This window comes from Homo sapiens, chromosome 17, assembly GCF_000001405.40.
Source record: "Homo sapiens chromosome 17, GRCh38.p14 Primary Assembly".
Lineage (NCBI taxonomy): Eukaryota > Metazoa > Chordata > Mammalia > Primates > Hominidae > Homo > Homo sapiens.
Genome location: NC_000017.11, coordinates 1,550,442 through 1,568,617, shown reverse-complemented (window position 1 = coordinate 1,568,617; position 18,176 = coordinate 1,550,442). Strand labels below are relative to the sequence as shown.

At 52.5% G+C, this 18,176-nt stretch overlaps 1 protein-coding gene across 2 annotated transcripts in view, besides 10 other annotated features; it reads left to right on the top strand.

The window, feature by feature from the left end:
* Positions 1,581–1,630: an enhancer, noted in NCBI's record as "active region_11455". NCBI's record gives its function as "activates an Ori minimal core promoter by ATAC-STARR-seq in GM12878 lymphoblastoid cells {active_cell/tissue: GM12878}" and the evidence as "EXISTENCE:reporter gene assay evidence [ECO:0000049][PMID:35858748]".
* Positions 5,506–6,005: an enhancer, noted in NCBI's record as "H3K27ac hESC enhancer chr17:1465907-1466406 (GRCh37/hg19 assembly coordinates)". NCBI's record gives its function as "activates a minimal SCP1, AML or CMV promoter by ChIP-STARR-seq in primed H9 embryonic stem cells {active_cell/tissue: H9 hESC(primed)}" and the evidence as "EXISTENCE:reporter gene assay evidence [ECO:0000049][PMID:30033119]".
* Positions 5,654–5,933: a silencer, noted in NCBI's record as "silent region_7963". NCBI's record gives its function as "represses an Ori minimal core promoter by ATAC-STARR-seq in GM12878 lymphoblastoid cells {active_cell/tissue: GM12878}" and the evidence as "EXISTENCE:reporter gene assay evidence [ECO:0000049][PMID:35858748]".
* Positions 5,826–18,176, top strand: part of PITPNA (phosphatidylinositol transfer protein alpha) — a 45,075-nt gene continuing 32,724 nt past the window's right edge. Inside the window, exons 1-3 of one of the 2 annotated variants that reach the window (NM_006224.4) lie at positions 5,826–6,077; positions 10,059–10,089; positions 15,469–15,614. In NM_006224.4, coding sequence (NP_006215.1) covers positions 6,058–6,077; positions 10,059–10,089; positions 15,469–15,614 — 197 coding nt within the window. In that variant the 5' untranslated portion in view covers positions 5,826–6,057. Of the gene's footprint in view, positions 6,078–6,720; positions 7,420–10,058; positions 10,090–15,468; positions 15,615–18,176 lie in introns of those variants that run through there. The other variant, XM_047436299.1, reaches the window with a different exon arrangement.
* Positions 6,004–6,053: a silencer, noted in NCBI's record as "silent region_7962". NCBI's record gives its function as "represses an Ori minimal core promoter by ATAC-STARR-seq in GM12878 lymphoblastoid cells {active_cell/tissue: GM12878}" and the evidence as "EXISTENCE:reporter gene assay evidence [ECO:0000049][PMID:35858748]".
* Positions 6,534–6,663: a silencer, noted in NCBI's record as "silent region_7961". NCBI's record gives its function as "represses an Ori minimal core promoter by ATAC-STARR-seq in GM12878 lymphoblastoid cells {active_cell/tissue: GM12878}" and the evidence as "EXISTENCE:reporter gene assay evidence [ECO:0000049][PMID:35858748]".
* Positions 6,774–6,873: an enhancer, noted in NCBI's record as "active region_11454". NCBI's record gives its function as "activates an Ori minimal core promoter by ATAC-STARR-seq in GM12878 lymphoblastoid cells {active_cell/tissue: GM12878}" and the evidence as "EXISTENCE:reporter gene assay evidence [ECO:0000049][PMID:35858748]".
* Positions 7,788–8,754: an enhancer, noted in NCBI's record as "H3K4me1 hESC enhancer chr17:1463158-1464124 (GRCh37/hg19 assembly coordinates)". NCBI's record gives its function as "activates a minimal SCP1, AML or CMV promoter by ChIP-STARR-seq in naive H9 embryonic stem cells {active_cell/tissue: H9 hESC(naive)}" and the evidence as "EXISTENCE:reporter gene assay evidence [ECO:0000049][PMID:30033119]".
* Positions 12,116–12,316: a silencer, noted in NCBI's record as "peak2674 fragment used in MPRA reporter construct". NCBI's record gives its function as "represses an SCP1 promoter by STARR-seq MPRAs in K562 erythroleukemia cells {active_cell/tissue: K562}" and the evidence as "EXISTENCE:reporter gene assay evidence [ECO:0000049][PMID:32103011]".
* Positions 12,733–12,802: an enhancer, noted in NCBI's record as "active region_11453". NCBI's record gives its function as "activates an Ori minimal core promoter by ATAC-STARR-seq in GM12878 lymphoblastoid cells {active_cell/tissue: GM12878}" and the evidence as "EXISTENCE:reporter gene assay evidence [ECO:0000049][PMID:35858748]".
* Positions 17,077–17,991: an enhancer, noted in NCBI's record as "H3K4me1 hESC enhancer chr17:1453921-1454835 (GRCh37/hg19 assembly coordinates)". NCBI's record gives its function as "activates a minimal SCP1, AML or CMV promoter by ChIP-STARR-seq in naive and primed H9 embryonic stem cells {active_cell/tissue: H9 hESC(naive and primed)}" and the evidence as "EXISTENCE:reporter gene assay evidence [ECO:0000049][PMID:30033119]".

Here is an 18,176-nt window from a genome sequence, read left to right as displayed (position 1 = left end):
GCGTGAACCCGGGAGGCGGAGCTTGCAGTGAGCGGAGATTATACCACTGCGCTCCAGCCTGGGCAACAGAGCGAGACTCCGTCTCAAAAAAAAAAAAAGAAAAGAAAGAAAAAAACATTCTTTGAAGGCTGGCGCATGCTCTGCCTTGGTCCCCACTCTACCCCCAGTGCCTAGAATCGTGCCTGGCATGGAATAGCTGCTCAATAAATATTTGGGGGACGAAGTTTAAAAAGAGAGAGAGACAGAAATACCACAGAAAAGAAGCTAAAATAGACTAAGAGGCTGGGAGAAGAGCAGAGCGGAAGATGGAAACAGTGAAATACAGTCTCCCCAGGACACCCAGAGATGGGTTACAGGGCTGGCTATAACCGACGCAGTACCAAGGGTCAACCACCCAGGGGAAACCATGCTGAGAACTGGAACCGTGAGATCCACAGACACAATGATGAAAGAGTGGCCGGGTGCCGTGGCTCATGCCTGTAATCCTGGCACTTTGGGAGGCTGAGGCAGGTGGATCGCTGGAGCCTAGGAGTTGGAGACCAGCCTGGCCAACATGGTGAAACCCCATCTTTACTAAAAGGGCAAAAAATTATCCGGGCGTGGTGGCGGGCACCTGTAATCCCAGTTACTCGGGAGGCTGAGGCAAGAGAATTGCTTGAACCTGGAAGGCAGAGTTTGCAGTGGGCTGAGATGGCACCATTGCACTCCAGCCCGGGCAACAAGAGTGAAACTCCATCTCAAAAAAAAAAAAAGAAAAAACAAAACAAAACAAAAAGACGAAGGAGTGAGAGAGAGAAATAGACTGTGATAGAACACAGCAGACACAGGGGAAAGGAGATAGCCGCAAAGAGACGATGAAACATGGGGTCTTGTGGTTCACATCTATAATCCCAGCAATTCGGGAGGCCCAGCCAGGAGGATCGTTTGAGCCCAGGAGTTTGAAACCAGCCTGGGCAACATAATGAGAGCTTGTCTCTTAAAAAAAAAAAAAAAAAAAAAAATTGGCCAGGCGCAGTGGCTCACGCCTGTAATCCCAGCACTTTGGGAGGCTGAGGCGAGCAGATCACGAGGTCAGGAGATCGAGACCATCCTGGCTAACATGGTGAAACCCCGTCTCTACTAAAAATACAAAAATTAGCCGGGCGTGGTGGCGGGCTCCTGTAATCCCAGCTACTCGGGAGGCTGAAGCAGGAGAATCGCTTGAGCCCCGAGAGATGGAGCTTGCAGTGAGCCGAGATCATGCCACTGCACTCCAGCCTGGGCGACAGAGCAACACTCTGTCTCAAAAAAGAGAAGAAAAACAAAACAAGGGCTGGGCGCGGTGGCTTACACCTGTAATCCCAGCACTTTGGGAGGCCGAGGCAGGCGGATCACGAGGTCAGGAGATCGAGACCATCCTGGCCAACACGGTGAAATCCCGTCTCTACTAAAAATGCAAAAATTAGCCAGGCGTGGTGGCATGCGCCTGTAATCCCAGCTACTCGGGTGGCTGAGGCAGGAGAATAGCTTGAACAAGGGAGTCGGAGCTTGCAGTGAGCCGAGATCGCCACTGCACTCGAGCCTGGTGACACAGCAAGATTCTGTCTCAAAAAATAATAATAAAAAAAAAAAAAAAAACAAAGACTGAGACCACAGGAAGTGGGAGAGAGGGGAAGGGAAAGGCCCAAAGAGGAGAGACAGGAAGCGAGGTAAAGGTGAGGCAGAAATGCAGAGAGCCCAGAGAAGTGAGACGACAGTCATAAAGGGAGACAGAGATGTGAAGGGAGGGACAGAGAACAGAGAGAGAATGAGACAGGGTGACAGAGGTCCAGAGAGAGACAGCCTGGGAGAGCCAGAGAGACACAAGTGAGAGACAGAGAGATACGAAAGGGACAGGAGAAACAGGAAGAGAGAGGGAGCTTGAGAAACTGAGAGAGGACGGACAGAGGGAGCAAGGCAAAGAGAGAGAGATCCATGGAAAGCTGCTCGTTTCTTTCCTCTGTTAAGCCTGGAGCATGCAGAAATGCAGAAGTAGGTTTTTTGTTTTGTTTTGTTTTTGATACAGAGTCTTGCTCTATCTCGGCTCACTGCAACCTCTGCCTCACAGGTTCAAATGATTCTTCTGCCTCAGCCTCCCGAGGAGCTGGGACTACTGGCGCACACCTCCACGCCTGGCTAATTTGTGTATTTTTAGTAGAAACGGGGTTTCACCATGTTGGCCAGGCTGGTCTCGAACTCCTGATCTCAGGTGATCCACACACCTCGGCCTCCCAAAGTGCTGGGATTACAGGTGTGCGGCACCGTGACCAGCCTAGAGGTAGTTTTGAGGGGCAGGGGTGTCCATCCCTCCTTGTTCACAACGCCCTTTTCCCAATAATTAATAATAATAATAATAATAATAATAATAAGGAAATATGCCACTCACTGCAGAAAGCTGCTTCATGTCCATTGCCTCATCCAAGGAGGCTCAGCAGCCCCATGACGCAGGTACCGGCATGTTCCCTATTTCCCAAGTGAAGAAACTGAGATACAGAGAGGTTAAGTCACTTGCACAAGGTCACAGAGGTAGGAAGTGGAGGCCTGGGACTCCAAGGCAGCGGAAGTCTGTGTCCTGGGTGGGGCTGTTGGCTCACAGTGTGGCACAGCTGGAGAGTGGTGTGACCCCTGCGTCTAACCCGTATGGACATCTGCAGCAAACTTGCTATTGAAAAAGATGTAAAAAACGTAACTCAAAATAAAGTGTGAAAAAAAAAAATACATGGACCTTGCCTGGATACTGAACTTCTCTAAAGGAAACTATAGCATTTTTTAGATTAGCAGGGAAATTAGAATATGAACTGGGGATGAGATAGCATCAGGAAATCATTATTAATTTTGTTAAGTATGACAATGGCATTATGCATTTGTAAGAAATGTGCATATTTCTAGAATGTGCACTGTAACCTGGAGGGGTGAGATGACATGATGTCCAAGGTCGGCTTGTTTTTTTTTATTTTAATTTAAATTTAATTTTATTTTCTTATTATACTTAAGTTCTAGGGTACATGTGCACAACGTGCAGGCTTGTTACATATGTATACATGTGCCATGTTGGTGTGCTGCACCCATTAACTAGTCATTTACATTAGGAATATCTCCTAATGCTATCCCTCCCCCTCCCCCCGTCCCACAACAGGCCCCAGAGTGTGATGTTCCCCTTCCTGTGTCTAAGTATTCTCATTGTTCAATTCCCACCTATGAATGAGAACATGCAGTGTTTGGTTTTCTGTCCTTGCTATAGTTTGCTGAGAATGATGGTTTCCAGATTCATCCATGTCCTTACAAAGGATATTAACTCATCCTTTTTTATGGCTGCATAGTATTCCATGGTGTATATGTGCCACATTATCTGAGACTTTTTTTTTTTTGAGACAGAGTCTAACTCTCGCCAGGCTGGAGCGCAGTGACACGATCTTGGCTCGCTGCAACCTCTGCCTCCTGAATTCAAGTGATCCTCCTGCATTCAAGTGATCCTCCTGCCTCAGCCTCCCGAGTAGCTGGGACTACAGGCGCGTGCCACCACACCCAGCTAATTTTTGTATTTTTAGTAGAGACAGGGTTTCACCATTTCAGCCAGGATGGTCTTGATCTCTTGACCTGATGATCCGCCCGCCTCAGCCTCCCAAAGTGGTAGGATTATAGGAGTGAGCCACCGCGCCCGGCTGTGCCACATTTTCTTTATCCAGTCTGTCATTGATGGGCATTTGGGTTGGTTCCAAGTCTTTGCTATTGTGAATAGTGGTCGGCTTGTTTTTTTGAGACAGAATCTTGCTCTGTCGCCCAGGCTGGAGTGCGGTGGCATGATCTCGGCTCACTGCAACCTCTGCCTCCAGGGCTCAAGCGATTCTCCTACCTCAGCCTCCCGAGTAACTGAGACGACAGGCACATGCCACCACACTGAGCTAATTTTTGTTTTAGTAGAGATGGGGTTTTACCATGTTGGCCAGGCTGGTCTTGAACTCCTGGCCTCAAGTGATTCGCCCGCCCCAGCCTCCCAAAGTGCTGGGAATCCAGGTGTGAGGCACTCAGCCTGGCCCCCACTCTAGGATCTGATAAGTGAGCACAGTGCTCAGGGCAGTCGCGGGCCGCCAGTCACATCCTGATAGCAACACGGCCAGCTGCTCCACCCTCCCTTCCCAAGTCCCTGTCTTAGGCAGCCCACTCCCATCTCCCCTGGATGCCCCTCTAGCGTCCTGCGCTGAGTGTGAGTCCAGCACTGGAGTCATTACCTGCCCCCATGCCAGCCTGTCTTGCCTGTGTTCTCAGAGAAGACAGTACCGTCCACCCCGGCTCCCAGGCCAGAGACCTCGCTGCTTTTCTCTCCTCCTCTCAGCCAATGAGTCAACAAGTCTCACGGAGTTTACCTTCTGAGTTGCTCCTGAATCCATCCCTTCCTTTTCTTCCCTCCCACTGTCCTAGTCCACCTGCACCTGGACATCTGCAGCAGCCTCCTCGCCGGTCTCCCTGCCTACGCTCTGGCATTCCATCCCCTCTGTCCACCCAACCACTAGAGTGAGCCTTCGCCCAGGACACCCGCTCATGTCACTGCTCAGAGCCCTTACATGCCCTCCCACCGCCCTTAGGGTGGACTCCAAATACCTTATCATCGTTCACCAGGAACCCTCCCCTATTGAGCTGCTCAGCCCTGAAATGTTCTGTTCCACTCACTTGTCAGTTCTCCAAATGCACCATGCTCTCCCTCTTGCCTCCAGCCTTTGCATTCACTCTGCCTGCTATGCTCTTCTCCGAAGCCCTCTGCAGATCTGAGAATCTCTTCCTCCAGGAAGCCTTCCCTGACTACATCCCTGACGCTCAATTAGGTGCCCCTCCGTGTAATGCCGCTAAGCCTGTGTCTCATTTCTCACAGCCCTTTTCATTCTTTTTTTTTTTTTTTTTTTTGATGCAGAGTCTCGCTCTGTCGCCCCAGCTGGAGTGCAATGGTGCGATCTCGGCTCACTGCAACCTCCGCCTCCAGGGTTCAAGCGATTCTCCTGCCTCATCCTCCCGAGCAGCTGGGACTACCACCACCACGTCCACCACCACGCCCGGCTAATTTTTGTACTTTTAGTAGAGATGGGGTTTCGCCATCTGGTCTGGAACTCCTGACCTCAGGTGATGCGCCCGCCTGAGTGCTGCATTACAGGCATGATGTGCCTGGGATTACTGCCAGGAGCCACCGCGCCCGGCCTCACAGCCCTTTTCTTTTCTTTTTTTTTTTTTTGAGACGAAGTTTCACTCTTGTCCCCCAGGCTGGAGTGCAATGGCGCGATCGCGATCTCGGCTCACTGCAAACTCTGCCTCCCGGTACAAGCGATTCTCCCGCCTCAGCCTCCCGTGTAGCTGGGATTACAGGTGCGTGCCTCCACGCCCAGCTAATTTTTGTATTTTTAGTAGAGACGGGGTTTCATCATGTTGGCCAGGCTGGTCTCGAACTCCTGACCTCAGGTGATCCGCCCGCCTCGGCCTCCCAAGGTGCAAGGATTACAGGCGTGGGCCACCGCGCGCGGCTATTAATATTTTTTGAAACAACCTTTTCCTGGGTCTCAATTCCCTCAACCGGGGAGGCCCCCCAGCCAGCACCCGCGTGCATCCGTGGCGGTTCACACCGAGGACGGTGACGGACACCCTAGTCTGCTCCGCCTTCTGCCGGGTCTGGCCCCAGCCGCGGGGCCCCACCTCGGAACCGACAGCGCCGCCGCGGCCCACTTAAGGACGGGAGGGCGGGCCTGGGAAGGCTCGGCCCCGCGTGACGTCAGCGCGCACCGCGGCGTGTGACGCTCTGGTTGCCGCAGAGACGCCCCGCCCCCGCGCGGCGCTGCGGAACCGGAGCTCCGGGCGGCGTCGGCAGCGGCGCGAGAGGCGACGAGGCCCGGGCGGCAGGAGCCGGCGCGGCGACCGCGGCGAGGGCGGCGGGGACGGAGCAGAGCACGACGAAGACGCACAGGCAGCCGGGCCGGGCCGGGCCACGGGGAGAGCGGCCGGCGGGCAGCGGGCGGGAGGCCGGGCGGGCCGCGGGCAGCCACCGAGCCGCGAAGCGACATGGTGCTGCTCAAGGAGTAGTGAGTGTCCGGCGGCCGTGCGGAAGCGGGGAGGAGGGAGGGTGGGGACGGCCGCCGGGGCGACGGCGCGGCGAGGGACGCAGGGCCCGGATGGACGGAGGGGCAGCAGGGACGGAGGGTGCCTGAGGCGGGCCCAGCGGGGATGGAGGGGATCCGGGGCGGGCGGCACGTGAGGCGGGGCCCACGGGGCACGGAGGGGCGGCCGGGGCGTGGAGGGGCGGCCGGGGCGTGGAGGGGCAGCCGGGGCGTTCGGCATCTGAGCCGGGGCCCACGGGGCATGGACGGGCAGCCGGGGCATGGAGGGGCCCACGGGCACGGAGGGACAACCCGGGCGGACGGCTCCTCAGGCGCCCCGGGGGCCTCGGAGGCCCAAGTGGACCCGAGGAGAGGCCGGGGACAGCGAGGGCGAGGCCAGGCCCGAGACGGGGTCAGGGCAGGGAGAGCTGGCCCGGGACTGGGGGAGGCCGAGGGGACGCCGAGCGCTGGGAGTGCTGTGGGGTCGCTCTGCGCGGGCCGAGGGCGCGGGCTCAGCCGGGACTGCAGGCGGCGCTGAGAGGCCCCGCGGCGGCCGAGGAAGAGGCGCACCGGGGCAGGCAGGGCCTCCCGGCGGTGGGGAAAGGTGGAGGGCCGAACAGTTCACACGGAGAGCCGGGTGGATGGGTCAGAGGCTCCGCGATGGAGTTGGGATGGGGATGGGGAGGAGTGGCCGCCTTAGGCATCGGGTGAGGGGTGGTGGTAAGTGGACACAGGAGGAGGACTAGGAAGTCAGGGCCTGGCTGGGGAGACAGGTGAAGGGTCTGAGGACATGCAGAGGGGGCTGAGATGCGGGCCGGAGTAACCGTGGTGCCCAAGCAGCTGGTGCGGAAGAGGAGGCTTTTGGAACAAGCTTGGGATGACTGCTTGGGACGTGGGGAGACTTGGGCGAGGAGGCCAGAAAATGTTGGGTAGGGTCCGAAGTGGAGAAGGCCGGGAAGTTACCGGGGTCGAGGCTGGTCCGGAAAGAGAGTATGTTGGGATGAGTATACCTGCCGTTGGAGATGGGGGAGACCAGGGCAGGGCCAGCTTGTTTCTAGGGGATTCTCAGTCTTGGTGCAAAGAGATGGGGAAATTCTTTGAGGAATTGAGGGGTCCATGGAGCCGTGAACTGAGGAGAGATGGTGGAAGGGGTGGGGAGCTCTTGAGTAGTGAAGAGGGGTGCGTGGGAAACTGGTGACTTCTGGAAGGAGTTGCAGGATGACGGGTTTGCTCCTGAAATCCAGGGGACTGGGGGACAGGTGGAGATGTTTGGTGTGCTAAATCTTTCAAGTACAAGATGAGCCATCGTTGAAGCTCAGGGTTCCAAGTAAGCATCACAGGACATTTTTCTCCCCAAAGAGGAGAGATAGGATGGGTGTGTGTGTGTGTGTGCGTGTGCGTGTGTGCACAGAATTTACAGTGAAACTGCTTTCCTGGAGGGAGGGCCAGAAGCCCCAGGAGTGGGAGATGGTCAAACAGAGAGCAACTTGTGAGGCAGCCAGGCAGGTGTGCAGAGAGCTCTTGCCACTTTGTCAGCGATCGCACTTTGACCATCCCCACCAGGCTGGCTCCTTGGAGGTGCTTAGGACATTTAGGACATAGAGTGGAGTTTGGGTAACAGAGGGAGCTGAGACCCACATGTCATCCCAGCTAAACACCTCATCTGAAGAGCATTATTTTGAGGCCTCATCCCCTCTGTTTCTTGACATCCAGTCTGATGTTAATTCAGCCAGGGCTCGGAGCTTTTCCTGGTGAGGAGGAAGAACTTTACGATGCCAACAGGAGAACGTGGTGCACTTTAGATTTTAATCTTCAGTGTCCAGACTGACAGGCTTTTCCCATCCTTCTGATTCTTTTTCCTGTTCCCAAATGAACCCTAGAATCTGTAGAAATCTGTGGTTTTGAAATGAAGGTCAGGCAGGGAAAGGAAGGGACCTTCAGAGGAGATCTGAGTGAGGTTTGAAGAGAGGCACTCCTTCCCTGTCTTTGTTCTCCTCCCCTTGAAGCCTGCAAGGGAAAAGTCCAAGGTGCCGGAGATGCAGGGCCTGCCTGGTATCTGCGTTTCCTTCCTGCCCGACTCGTGCCCCGTGTGTGCATCCCTGGGCGGGGGACGGGGGAGGAGCAGGGGCATCAGGGCATCCGAGACACTGGCTGTGGCCGCAGCGTTGCAGCCCTGGAAAGGGTGCGAGTGAAGGTCACATTAGAGTGAGTGCCGCTCCAGGCCCAGCCCGGCAGTTCCTCTGTGGCCCTGTCCTTTGGAATTGTACCCTATTGCTGCCGAAGTGGTTTTGTTCCTAAGGAGCAAGGGGGCAGTGTCAGAGTGTGCAGCCGTCACGTCAGCAGCCTCAGCGCATCCCGTCAGGAATTGGCCCATGGCATTCTCTTTTGGGGTGAGACTTGGTTCCCACCCAGCGTCTGCAGGTTGCCCCTGTTGATTTTTCCAACACTTCCTCTAACAGGATTCTGTTTAATTTGATTTCTGCAAAATCTTGGATGTGATTTTGACTGCTGTTCTTGAAGATAAAAGGCTTATTGTTTTCTAGGAAGTTTCTTCTGAGGGTGCAGAAATTCTGGCCTCCAAGTTGGGAGTATTTTTCTGCACCACTGGCTTTCTGTAATGGGAGGGGAGGCTCACTGGCAGCATTCAGTAAACTGGAGGATTTATGTTGTTTGAGTTGCTCTGGAGGAAGGGAGTTGTTAGCAGGCAGTAAAGACTTGGAGCCCATTTTGTTTTTCCTGCTACTTTCCTGCTTGGTGTCTTGCCTTTGAGGTGATGTTTTCCTCAGACCCCTCTGTGTCCTTCTTGCTTCCTGGGGGACCTTTGTGGAACTAGAAAATAGCTGTTTACTAGCCTGGAGCAAGGAGCCTGAGTGGTGAGCCGGCTGCATAAGGAAGGCACAGCAGCTCATGCTTCCCTAATGCTTCACTAAACATGCAAGACACAAAAGGACCCAGAGGGCTCCAGCAAGGGTCTGGGGACCGAACGTCTAAGCTTGGAAACTGGCTGGACTTGTATGGGTAAAACCAAGAGTTTTTGTCTTAGCTCTCCCGCCTCACAGCTTTGAACTGGGGGTGGCTCTTGGTCTGCATTTCACATGCACGGCACCTGGAGAAGTGCTGCTAGCCCTGGCACCTCTGTGGGGTTCTGGCCCTGGCGGAGACTTTGCCGGCCACGGCTTCTCCAATAGGTTGCTGGTGGCATCTCCAGCAATTGGTGGTCATTGAGTTGGAGAAGAAGAAAAGAAAATGATAAATTGGGATTCCTTTGGACAGCTCCTGGAGGTCAGGACATAAGTTGAATGCCCTCTTGGTGGCTTTGTGGTAGCAGCTTGGATTGTAATATCCAGCCCCGAGCAGAGATGCCCGGTGTGTGTTCTTAGGCTTCAAGGGGCTTGGTCCCTTCCTGGCCCTTCCCCTGGAGGGCTGTTGTTGGGAGGTTGGGTCCACAGAAATTTAAGTCCCCAGGGCCTCTTGTTTGGGTCTGAATCCTCACCATGATAGGTCCTCCTGTGTTAACCTGTCTTACTAGACTCACTGGCAAGTCTTGTTGGGGGGACGACTCATTGGCAAGTTTGGGTGAAGTTTATCATCCATATGTCCAGTTCCGAATGTGAGGTGGAGGCCTGGGAAGTAGCTGGCGGGAGGATAGGTTTGGACTGAATCACAGGGTTCTAACTGGGATGCCTCAAGGTACAGAGGGTCCTGTCCTCAGAGCACTAAGAGGGCCATTCTCTGGGGGGGGGGGCGGGGGGGGGGTGTTGTCACAGAGTTTAGTGTCTTACACCTCTAGGGCACAGAGGGTCCTGTCCTCAGAGCACTCAAAGGGCCATTCTCTGTGGGGTTTTCGTCACTGAATTTAGTGTCTTACACAATAGAATGCTGCTGACTGTTTTAGGATGATGCTTTAAAGAGCCTTGAGCAGATTGCACAGCCTAAAGTTGATACTCTCTTTTCCCTTTCTTATAGTCGAGTAATCCTGCCTGTGTCTGTAGATGAGGTAAGTCCTTTTACTTTCTGGTCCATAGTTGTGTGTAACTGTTTGTGACCATTGGCTAAGCTGGGCTCTGAGTGGTTATCCTGTTTATATAGTTTTCTTATTTGTTCTAACATAAATATTTCAATGTGAATTTCGTGGTGCCACTTTCAGTTGAAAAATGGCACTTACTTTGTATATCTGGGTAACTGTGTGCAACCTGTCCCAAGCTGTTGGTATGCTGGATGAGTAGAGATTAAACCAGCCCCTTTTATCTGCTGGGGCTGTGCATGTCTGGGGACCCTTTTTTTTTTTTTTTTTTGAGACGGAGTCTTGCTCAGTTTCCCAGGCTGGAGTGCAGTGGTGCGATCTCCGCTCACTGCAACCTCTGCCTCGTGGGTTCAAGCTATTCTCCTGCCTCAGCCTCCCAAGTAGCCGGGATTACAGGTGTGTGCCACCACACCCGGCTAATTTTTATATCTTTAGTAGAGATGGGCTTTCACCATGTTGGCCAGGCTGGTCTCAAACTCCCGACCTCAAGTGATCCGCCCGCCTCAGCCTCCCAAAGTGCTGGGATGACAGGCGTGAGCCCCCACACCCGGCCGGGGACGCATTATTGATGGGATCAAGTGTGTGCATTTCTGGGACGTCCGTGACTCGGCTGGCAAGTGTGCGTGGCTCTTTCTGGTTGTGCAACAAACCAGCAGGGCAGGAAATCTCTTGAGGCTCTCCCTAGCCACGATAGGTGACTGCTGGAAAGACCAAGACACAGAACCCTCCTTTTACGAAGGGCAGGGAATAACACATAGGCTTGGCTTGTCCTCTGTCCTTTTACGGTTCCTGGGTCTGACATCCTTGTATGTGGGGATCTGGCAGCAGGATTTGCTGTAAGAAGGTTCATAGGCCATGCTGACTCAGAGTCAGTCTCTTGGACAACGGAAAACTGTCACGGAACCTCCCTTGTCTCACTCTTTCTCTGAACTTCTTCCACTCTCCTCTCCTGGCGCAGCCTTGTTCTTTGCTTCCTTCTGAAATCACAGCCCCACCCCGCCCCAGCTTCCAGTTAAACTCGAGTTTGGGTGAGGTTCGTCAGCCAGTATAGTGCCTCCAGTCACTGGGCTCCGTCTCTCTTTCCTGCAGTGTCAGCATGAAGCTCCTGTGATAACTTCCACTCTGTTCCCAATATGAACTGCACCTTTGAAAAATGAAATCAGGCCAGCAGAGCCTGCAGCACATTTAGTTGAGACAGACATCCAGGCTTGTTGGCCCCCGAGAGGGGTGGGCAGACACTGGCCCTTTAGAGGACTGCCTCCAGGGGTGGGCTACATATCTGATAAGAGCTGTGGGGACCTGGGGAGGGGGCCAGAGGTGGGCCTTGACCGTGATCTTGGGGTTCTGGGAAGGGCAGAAAAGAGAAACGAGACTGGGGAACCTGGGAACCAGGGAGAATGAGGGAATGGCTGGGTAGATGGCTCTAATCCCTGTAGGCACTGGGGATGTACCTGGGGCCTGAGAACCAGGTGCCTGGGCTGACAGGTGTTGGCTTGGAAGGGTCTTGTTAACCCACCTGCTTTGGCCATGCTGTCTTTATTTTTTTTATTTTATAATATTTATTTTAAATAGTGGAGATAGGGTCTCACTCTGTTGTCCACGCTGGTCTTGCCTCAAGTAGTCCTCCTGCCTCAGCCTCCCAGAGTGCTGGGATTACAGATGTCAACCACTTCACCCAGCCTGTGCTGTCTTTATTGAAAATAGCAAGCGATGATTTTCCAAACCAGAAGGCCAAGCAGGAAAGCCCAGCGCGTCCCTTGCCCTCAAACTCAGCTCTTGGGGAGGTGTCCAGTGACGTCCTCTCTGCTGTACAGGATGATCCCACCCCGATCGTTAGGAAGATGTGCCCCAGGAACTCGGGATTTCCTTAGTGTGGTGATTAGGGGTGAAATGGATCCTTTGATAGGGAGTTTCTTGATGGAACGAAGGGCGAGAGTGTCTCTGAGAAGTGCTGCAGACCAAGGAGGGCCAGCCTGTCCTGGAGCACCTGGGGCTGTTCTTGGAGTAAGGCTGAAGGGCCAGACACTGATGGCTTATGGTGGGGCCAAGACTGGAAGGAAAGGGGAACTTCCACCTTGAGAGCATCCACAGTTGGCGGGTGTTCACTTGTGATGGTTTTTCTGCAGCATTGAGGAAGTGGTGGGGCGGAGTTGAGTAATCAGAGCCTGAAGTCTAAGCAGAAGCTTGGGAAGTGAGTGCTGATCAGGATTCACCTGTCTGCCTGGCAGTGGTCAGCCCGTTCTCAGCAAGAAACCATTGACAAGAAAGTACCACGTGGCCTGGGTAGGGTCGAAGCGGAACTTAGTTTCAGAGAATTAGAAAAATCTTGGAGGGGAAGGCCGAAGAAGAAACAATTCATGATCAACCTTCTCAGAGTCTTTGTCAGTAACCCCATCCCCATCCTGACTTAACAGTTTCTATGGGAACAGCTCAGCATCTTGTGACTGGTGGATTCACTTCCTAAATTGGAGGCCATGACTTGAGGCCTTTGCAGTTTTCTGATTTAGGGGAAAGTGAAGAAAGGGAAAGAGAAGGTCATGCCTTTGTAATCATTCCGATGGCCTGCATCAATATTTTGGGGGCAGAATTAGCTTCTGGGTGGCCAGAGCCTTTGGTCTAACCCTGAGTGTCTGGGCGTTGTGCAGCAGAGCGAGAAAGCCCTGGCTGTTTGACGGGGTGTGTCCACCAGTGCTTCCTGGCACAGGTCGGCCGGGCTGCTTCACTTCTTGTTTCCAGAGATTCACGGCACCAGTCCCCCTCTGGTACCCAGCCTGACAGGGCCATGTTGGTGGGACCAAAGCTGTACTGTTGTTTATGACGTGTTTCATGTCAGTATTTCAGGCCCACCCACTGGGCTCCCCCTCCCAGATTGCCAAAGTTGTGGAGTCTGTTTTTCTTAGTTGAATGTCTTAGTTCTCTGGGATAGGTGAACAGATCTCAAGAGCAAGGAACATCATCGCAGGTCTGAGGAGGCTAGATTCCCAGTCCTGTTGGAGTTTTTTAAATCTGATTTAATGATCTGACCCTCCCACTCCTATCTCTGCCCCATCCGAGTCTGGCTGCTTTCCCAGGGGGCAGAGCAGCTGTGCCAAAAGGAACTCTAACGTGAAAAGCGCCCTTCACTTGTAGCTTGTGCAGGCCAGTCTTGCTTACCCCTTTAGATTAACAAAACTGCCTTCACTTGTCTCATTGGGATTAAAGGATCAGAATATCAAGAGAGATTGAAGGGGGAAGATGCCAGCCAACAGGCTGATCCTCTTAGAACCTGCCCTCTGATTCCTGCAGCTGAAGAGAAACCAAATGAAGGCGATTAGTCTCTGCCTGGGGTCCCCCTTCCCAAGTGGTACCACTAGCTGGGAACCTCGCCCCCTCCACCAGGCCCTCTCCCCAGCCTGTCCTTTAGGATTGCTGAGTCAGTGGTTAGATGTTCTTACGGCTCTTCTCTGAAACGGAGTTACTGCTCCTTCTTAGGCACCCCTGGCTCAGCCAAGCCCTGACCCACCTGACGGGTTTTCATGTGTGCCTAGCTGGGTGGTGGACTTGGAGAGGCACAGGGACAGCTTGGGGCTCCAGGGGGGCATTGAGGCAGCACTGATGCAGCTTAGGATTAGCAAGGTCAAGGTGACTGGCTTTCACCCATATGTTCCTCTGTATGGATTTCACTGAGCCTCGATTGCTGCCCCTTTTCATGGCATTTTGTTCTGGGATTTTGCTTTGAAAGTTAGGGCTCTTTCAGCCTTGTGGTGAGCAGTGAATTGTCCTCGTCCTCTGCTTCACTTTCCAGATTTTGCCCAGAAATTTCCCTGCAGTGCTTAGGAAGCTGCCTGGTAGAGCAGGTTTCTAAGTTTGAGGCGAAGCAGCTCTGGAAGCTGCCTCTGTCCTTGCTGTTGGAGGCAGTGATTTAAGTAGCAGTTGCCTAGAGATACATCCTTTCTGTTTTAATCTCAAAGAGAGAAAAACCCAGTCCCTGTAATCCCAGCTACTTCGGAGGCTGAGGCAGGAGGCAGGAGGCAGGAGAATCACTTGAACCCAGGAGGCGGAGGTTGCAGTGACCTGAGATCGCACCACTGTGCGATCTCTGTCTAAAAAAAAAAAAAAAAAAAAAAAAAAATAGAGAAACACCCTTGTCTTCCCCCCGGGGGTGCCAGGAGTTGGGCATAGAGCTCGAGGAAACCCTTTGTCCCCCTCCACCCCCCAGCATGTTGGGTAATCCCATAGCTTTTTTCCTTTTTCTCATACTCCCTAAGCAGCCATGCCTGATTAGCACCGGCAGCGGTAGGAAAGACACATCCGTTGGTGTAGACATAATTTCCTGCCTCAAATGTTGCTGTTCATTTTCTTTTCACCTTGTTTTCTCCTCTGGACAGCTTCTCAGAGAAGAAGGCGGAAGGGCTAAGTCTGGGCACTGCCTAGGTCATTGGCCCATCCTGACAGGGTCAGAGGAGGCCAATCATGTTGACTGGTGACTTGATAGGGTGGCATGTGACCCAAATAAAGGAAAACTAGGTTTTTGCCATGTAGTAAGTGCCAACACAGAGGGTGCACCCAGCCGGCACAGACTGTGGGGCAGGAATCTGTAATATCTCATGTGGGAAGCAGGAATACTTGCTTGGCCCCACCAGGAATCTGGAAAATGTCAAGAGGTTTCATTGCCTGAAAGAGCTACTTGCGGGGTGAGGAGAGGCCTAAGACTAGAGAAGAAGCGAGTAGATGAGCCAGTTTTACGATAGAGGTTGCGGATTTCACAGAGCGCTGAGCACCTTTCTTTGACAAGAAATCAAGTCTTAGGATCTATTTAAATGGGTGAGATCCAGTGATTTCTAGCAACCAACCTAGGTCTTCTGGGGTCTTAATACCAGAAGCAGGCTTAGCACAAAAGCTCCTTTGGACTCTAATCTGTTTTCTGCGTGGTGGTGTCAGGTTAAGTAGACTCACCTGCCTCTTTAAATCCTGATGGATTGACTGGGAACGGTGGCTCATGCTTATAATCTCAGCACTTTGGCAGGCCAAGGTGGGAGGATGGCTTGAGACCAGGAGTTTTGAGACCAGCCTGGGCAACATAGCAAGACCCTGTCTCTACCAAAAAAAATAAATAAATAAAAATAAACCCTGATGGGTGGTGTGAAAATGAGAAGGATGAACTAAACACGTCTGATGGGTCAAGAGGGGCCATGGAGCAGCACTGTCAGTTGCTTTGGGTGGGTTTGGGCAAGGCCTGATGTGAAACTCCAGAACCAGCTCCTGCATGAGGAGACCCCAGGGAGATCCAGTTAGACACTTACTGGCAGCTGGATTACGTGTAACCGTTGAGAAGGGTCCGTGTTGAGAATAACATCTGTCTCTGTCCTTTAGTATCAAGTGGGGCAGCTGTATTCTGTGGCTGAGGCCAGTAAAAATGAAACGGGTGGTGGCGAAGGCGTGGAGGTCCTGGTGAATGAGCCCTACGAGAAGGACGGTGAGAAAGGCCAGTACACACACAAGATCTACCACCTGCAGAGGTATGCGGCATGAGCAGCGGGGCCGGATGCTGGCTTTTGTGTGTGTGTGAATGAGTGTTATTTCCTTTATTGTTTTATATAGATGGGATTATACTAATTGTTATATCCTAACAATTAATAGTTATATACTGACTGTATAAATGTTATACTCACATTTATATAGATGGGAATATACTATTCCTTTTTTGTTGTTACTTATCATGGCCTCCTCTCCCAGCCTGTTCTGTCTGCCTCGGTCTCTGAAGTCCGTGTAGGATTCACAGTATCATGGGGGACAGAAGTGCTATAGGTTGTTGAACCCTCCTGTCTTGACGCATATTTCTAGTCATTTCCAGATGCCTACATAATCCAGTAAAACTCCTTCTGTGTAGATCTTCTGATGTACTTGTATATGCAGATTTTTAGCAAATATTCCTAAAATTGAATTCCTAGAATTGCTGGGCTGGTAGGGTTTTTAATTCTGATATCGTGAAATCGATCGCTAGAGAAATTTTGGTACCTCTCTTTGGATCAAAGGCATCAGCATTTTTAAATGAAGCTTGAACTGATTTGTGTACTGGAATCCATATCAAACTACACAAATTTGCTAAATCCCTAACGAAAACAGTAATGTTTCAGCAAACTGTGAGCAGACCCAAAGGGCGTTGATGGTATTAATTATACATCAGCTTGAGTGGAAGTCAAACCAAGCTAGTTTTAGAAGCTATCCAGAACTGGTAAAGGTAAACCTGAATCTTTTTAAAAATTGTGATAAAGTACACGTAACATAAAATTCACCATTTTAACCATTTTTAAGTATACAGTTCAGTGACATTTAAGTCCATCCACACTGCTGTGAAACTGAAAGCTGGATCTTAATTTCTAGTCTCTAAACTGAACTGAAATCAATTGACTTTCATTTGGAAAAAGCCCCACTTCACTGTGGTCTGTCACTTTGATGGTGTCAGAGGGTCCAGGACCTCAGTGCCAGGGTGCGAGGAGAGCAGTGCTGTGCAGTGGGGAGGAACCTCACCATCACCCAGTCTCCTCGCCAGAGGGTCCAGGACCTCAGTACCGGGGTGCGAGGAGAGCAGCGCTGTCCAGCGGGGAGGAGTCTCACCATCACCCAGTCTCCTCACCGTCACCCAGTCTCCTCGCCAGAGGGTCCAGGACCTCAGTGCCGGGGTGCGAGGAGAGCAGTGCTGTCCAGCGGGGAGGAACCTCACCATCACTCAGTCTCCTCACCAGCACACTTTTTCTCCATGTCTCGTTTTGCTCCTCCTCTGGTATTTGTATTTCTTAAAGAGGATTTTGAAAAGAGATGGTGAAGTTGGTATTTTAGGTAGAAGGGACCAATTGTTTCCTCAAGACTAAGTTGGTCCAACCAAACTGACAGAGACGAGGTCTCTACATATGAAAGATGGAACCTGGCCGGGTGCTTCGGGGGCTCACGCCTGTAATCCCAGCACTTTGGGAGGCCGAGACGGATGGATCACTTGAGGTCAGGAGTTTGAGACCAGCCTGGGCAACATAGCGAGACTCCATCTCTACAAAAAATAAACAAAATTAGGCTGGTGTGGTGGCGAGTGTCTGTAGTCCTGTCTACTCAGGAGGCTGAGGTGGAAGGATCACCCGAGCCCAAGAGGTCAGGGCTGCAGTAAGCCATGGTCACGCCACTGCACTCCAGCCTGGGCCACAGAATGAGATCCCGCCTGTCTCTTACAAAAAAAAAAAAAGAAAAAAAAGAAAAAGAAAAGGCCAGCAGTGACTGCCACCACTACCTCTCCCCATGGTGACAAGAGAAGCTTTACTGTGTCAGCCATCTGGCTGCCCAAAGCAGAAAGCAGAGCTCCCCTGCAGTACTCTCACTCGCCCTTCTTATCGCATCAGGCCCCGCTGACTCCGCCCCGCAACACTCTCACTCGCCCTTCGTGTCCCATCAGGTCCCGCTGACTCCGCCCCGCAATACTCTCACTCGCCCTTCGTGTCCCATCAGGTCCCGCTGACTCCGCCCCGCAACACTCTCACTTGCCCTTCGTGTCCCATCAGGTCCTGCTGACTCCATCTCCTCAGCGTCTCCAACATGTCCCTTCCTTGCCACCTCTTGCCTGGATTACTACAGCAGCTTCTAACGAGTCTCCCTGCCTTTCAGTTCTCCGCACCGCTTCAAGTGTTCAGTCTGGATGGTCTGTCACTCCCAGCGCCAAAACTGCTGACGGCTTCCCTTTGCCTTCAGGACGAAGTCCGTGCTGTCTGACATAACTTATAGGACCTTTTAGCCAGCCTGGGCAACATAGCAAGACCCTGTCTCTACCAGAAAATACAAAAATGAGCCAGGCATAGTGGTGTGCACCTGTAGTCCCAGCTACTTGGGAGGCTGAGGTGGGAGGATCACCTGAGCCCAGGAAGTCAAGGCTGCCAGTGAGCCATGATCACACCACTGCACTCCAGCCTGGGCCACAGAGTGAGACCCTGTCTCAAAAAAAAAACAAAAAAATCTTTTAGGATCCAGCTTCAGGTGTCTCCTTGAATTCCCCACCTTGTACCTGCACCGGTTACTCTGAACTTGTCCCTCTTTTCTCC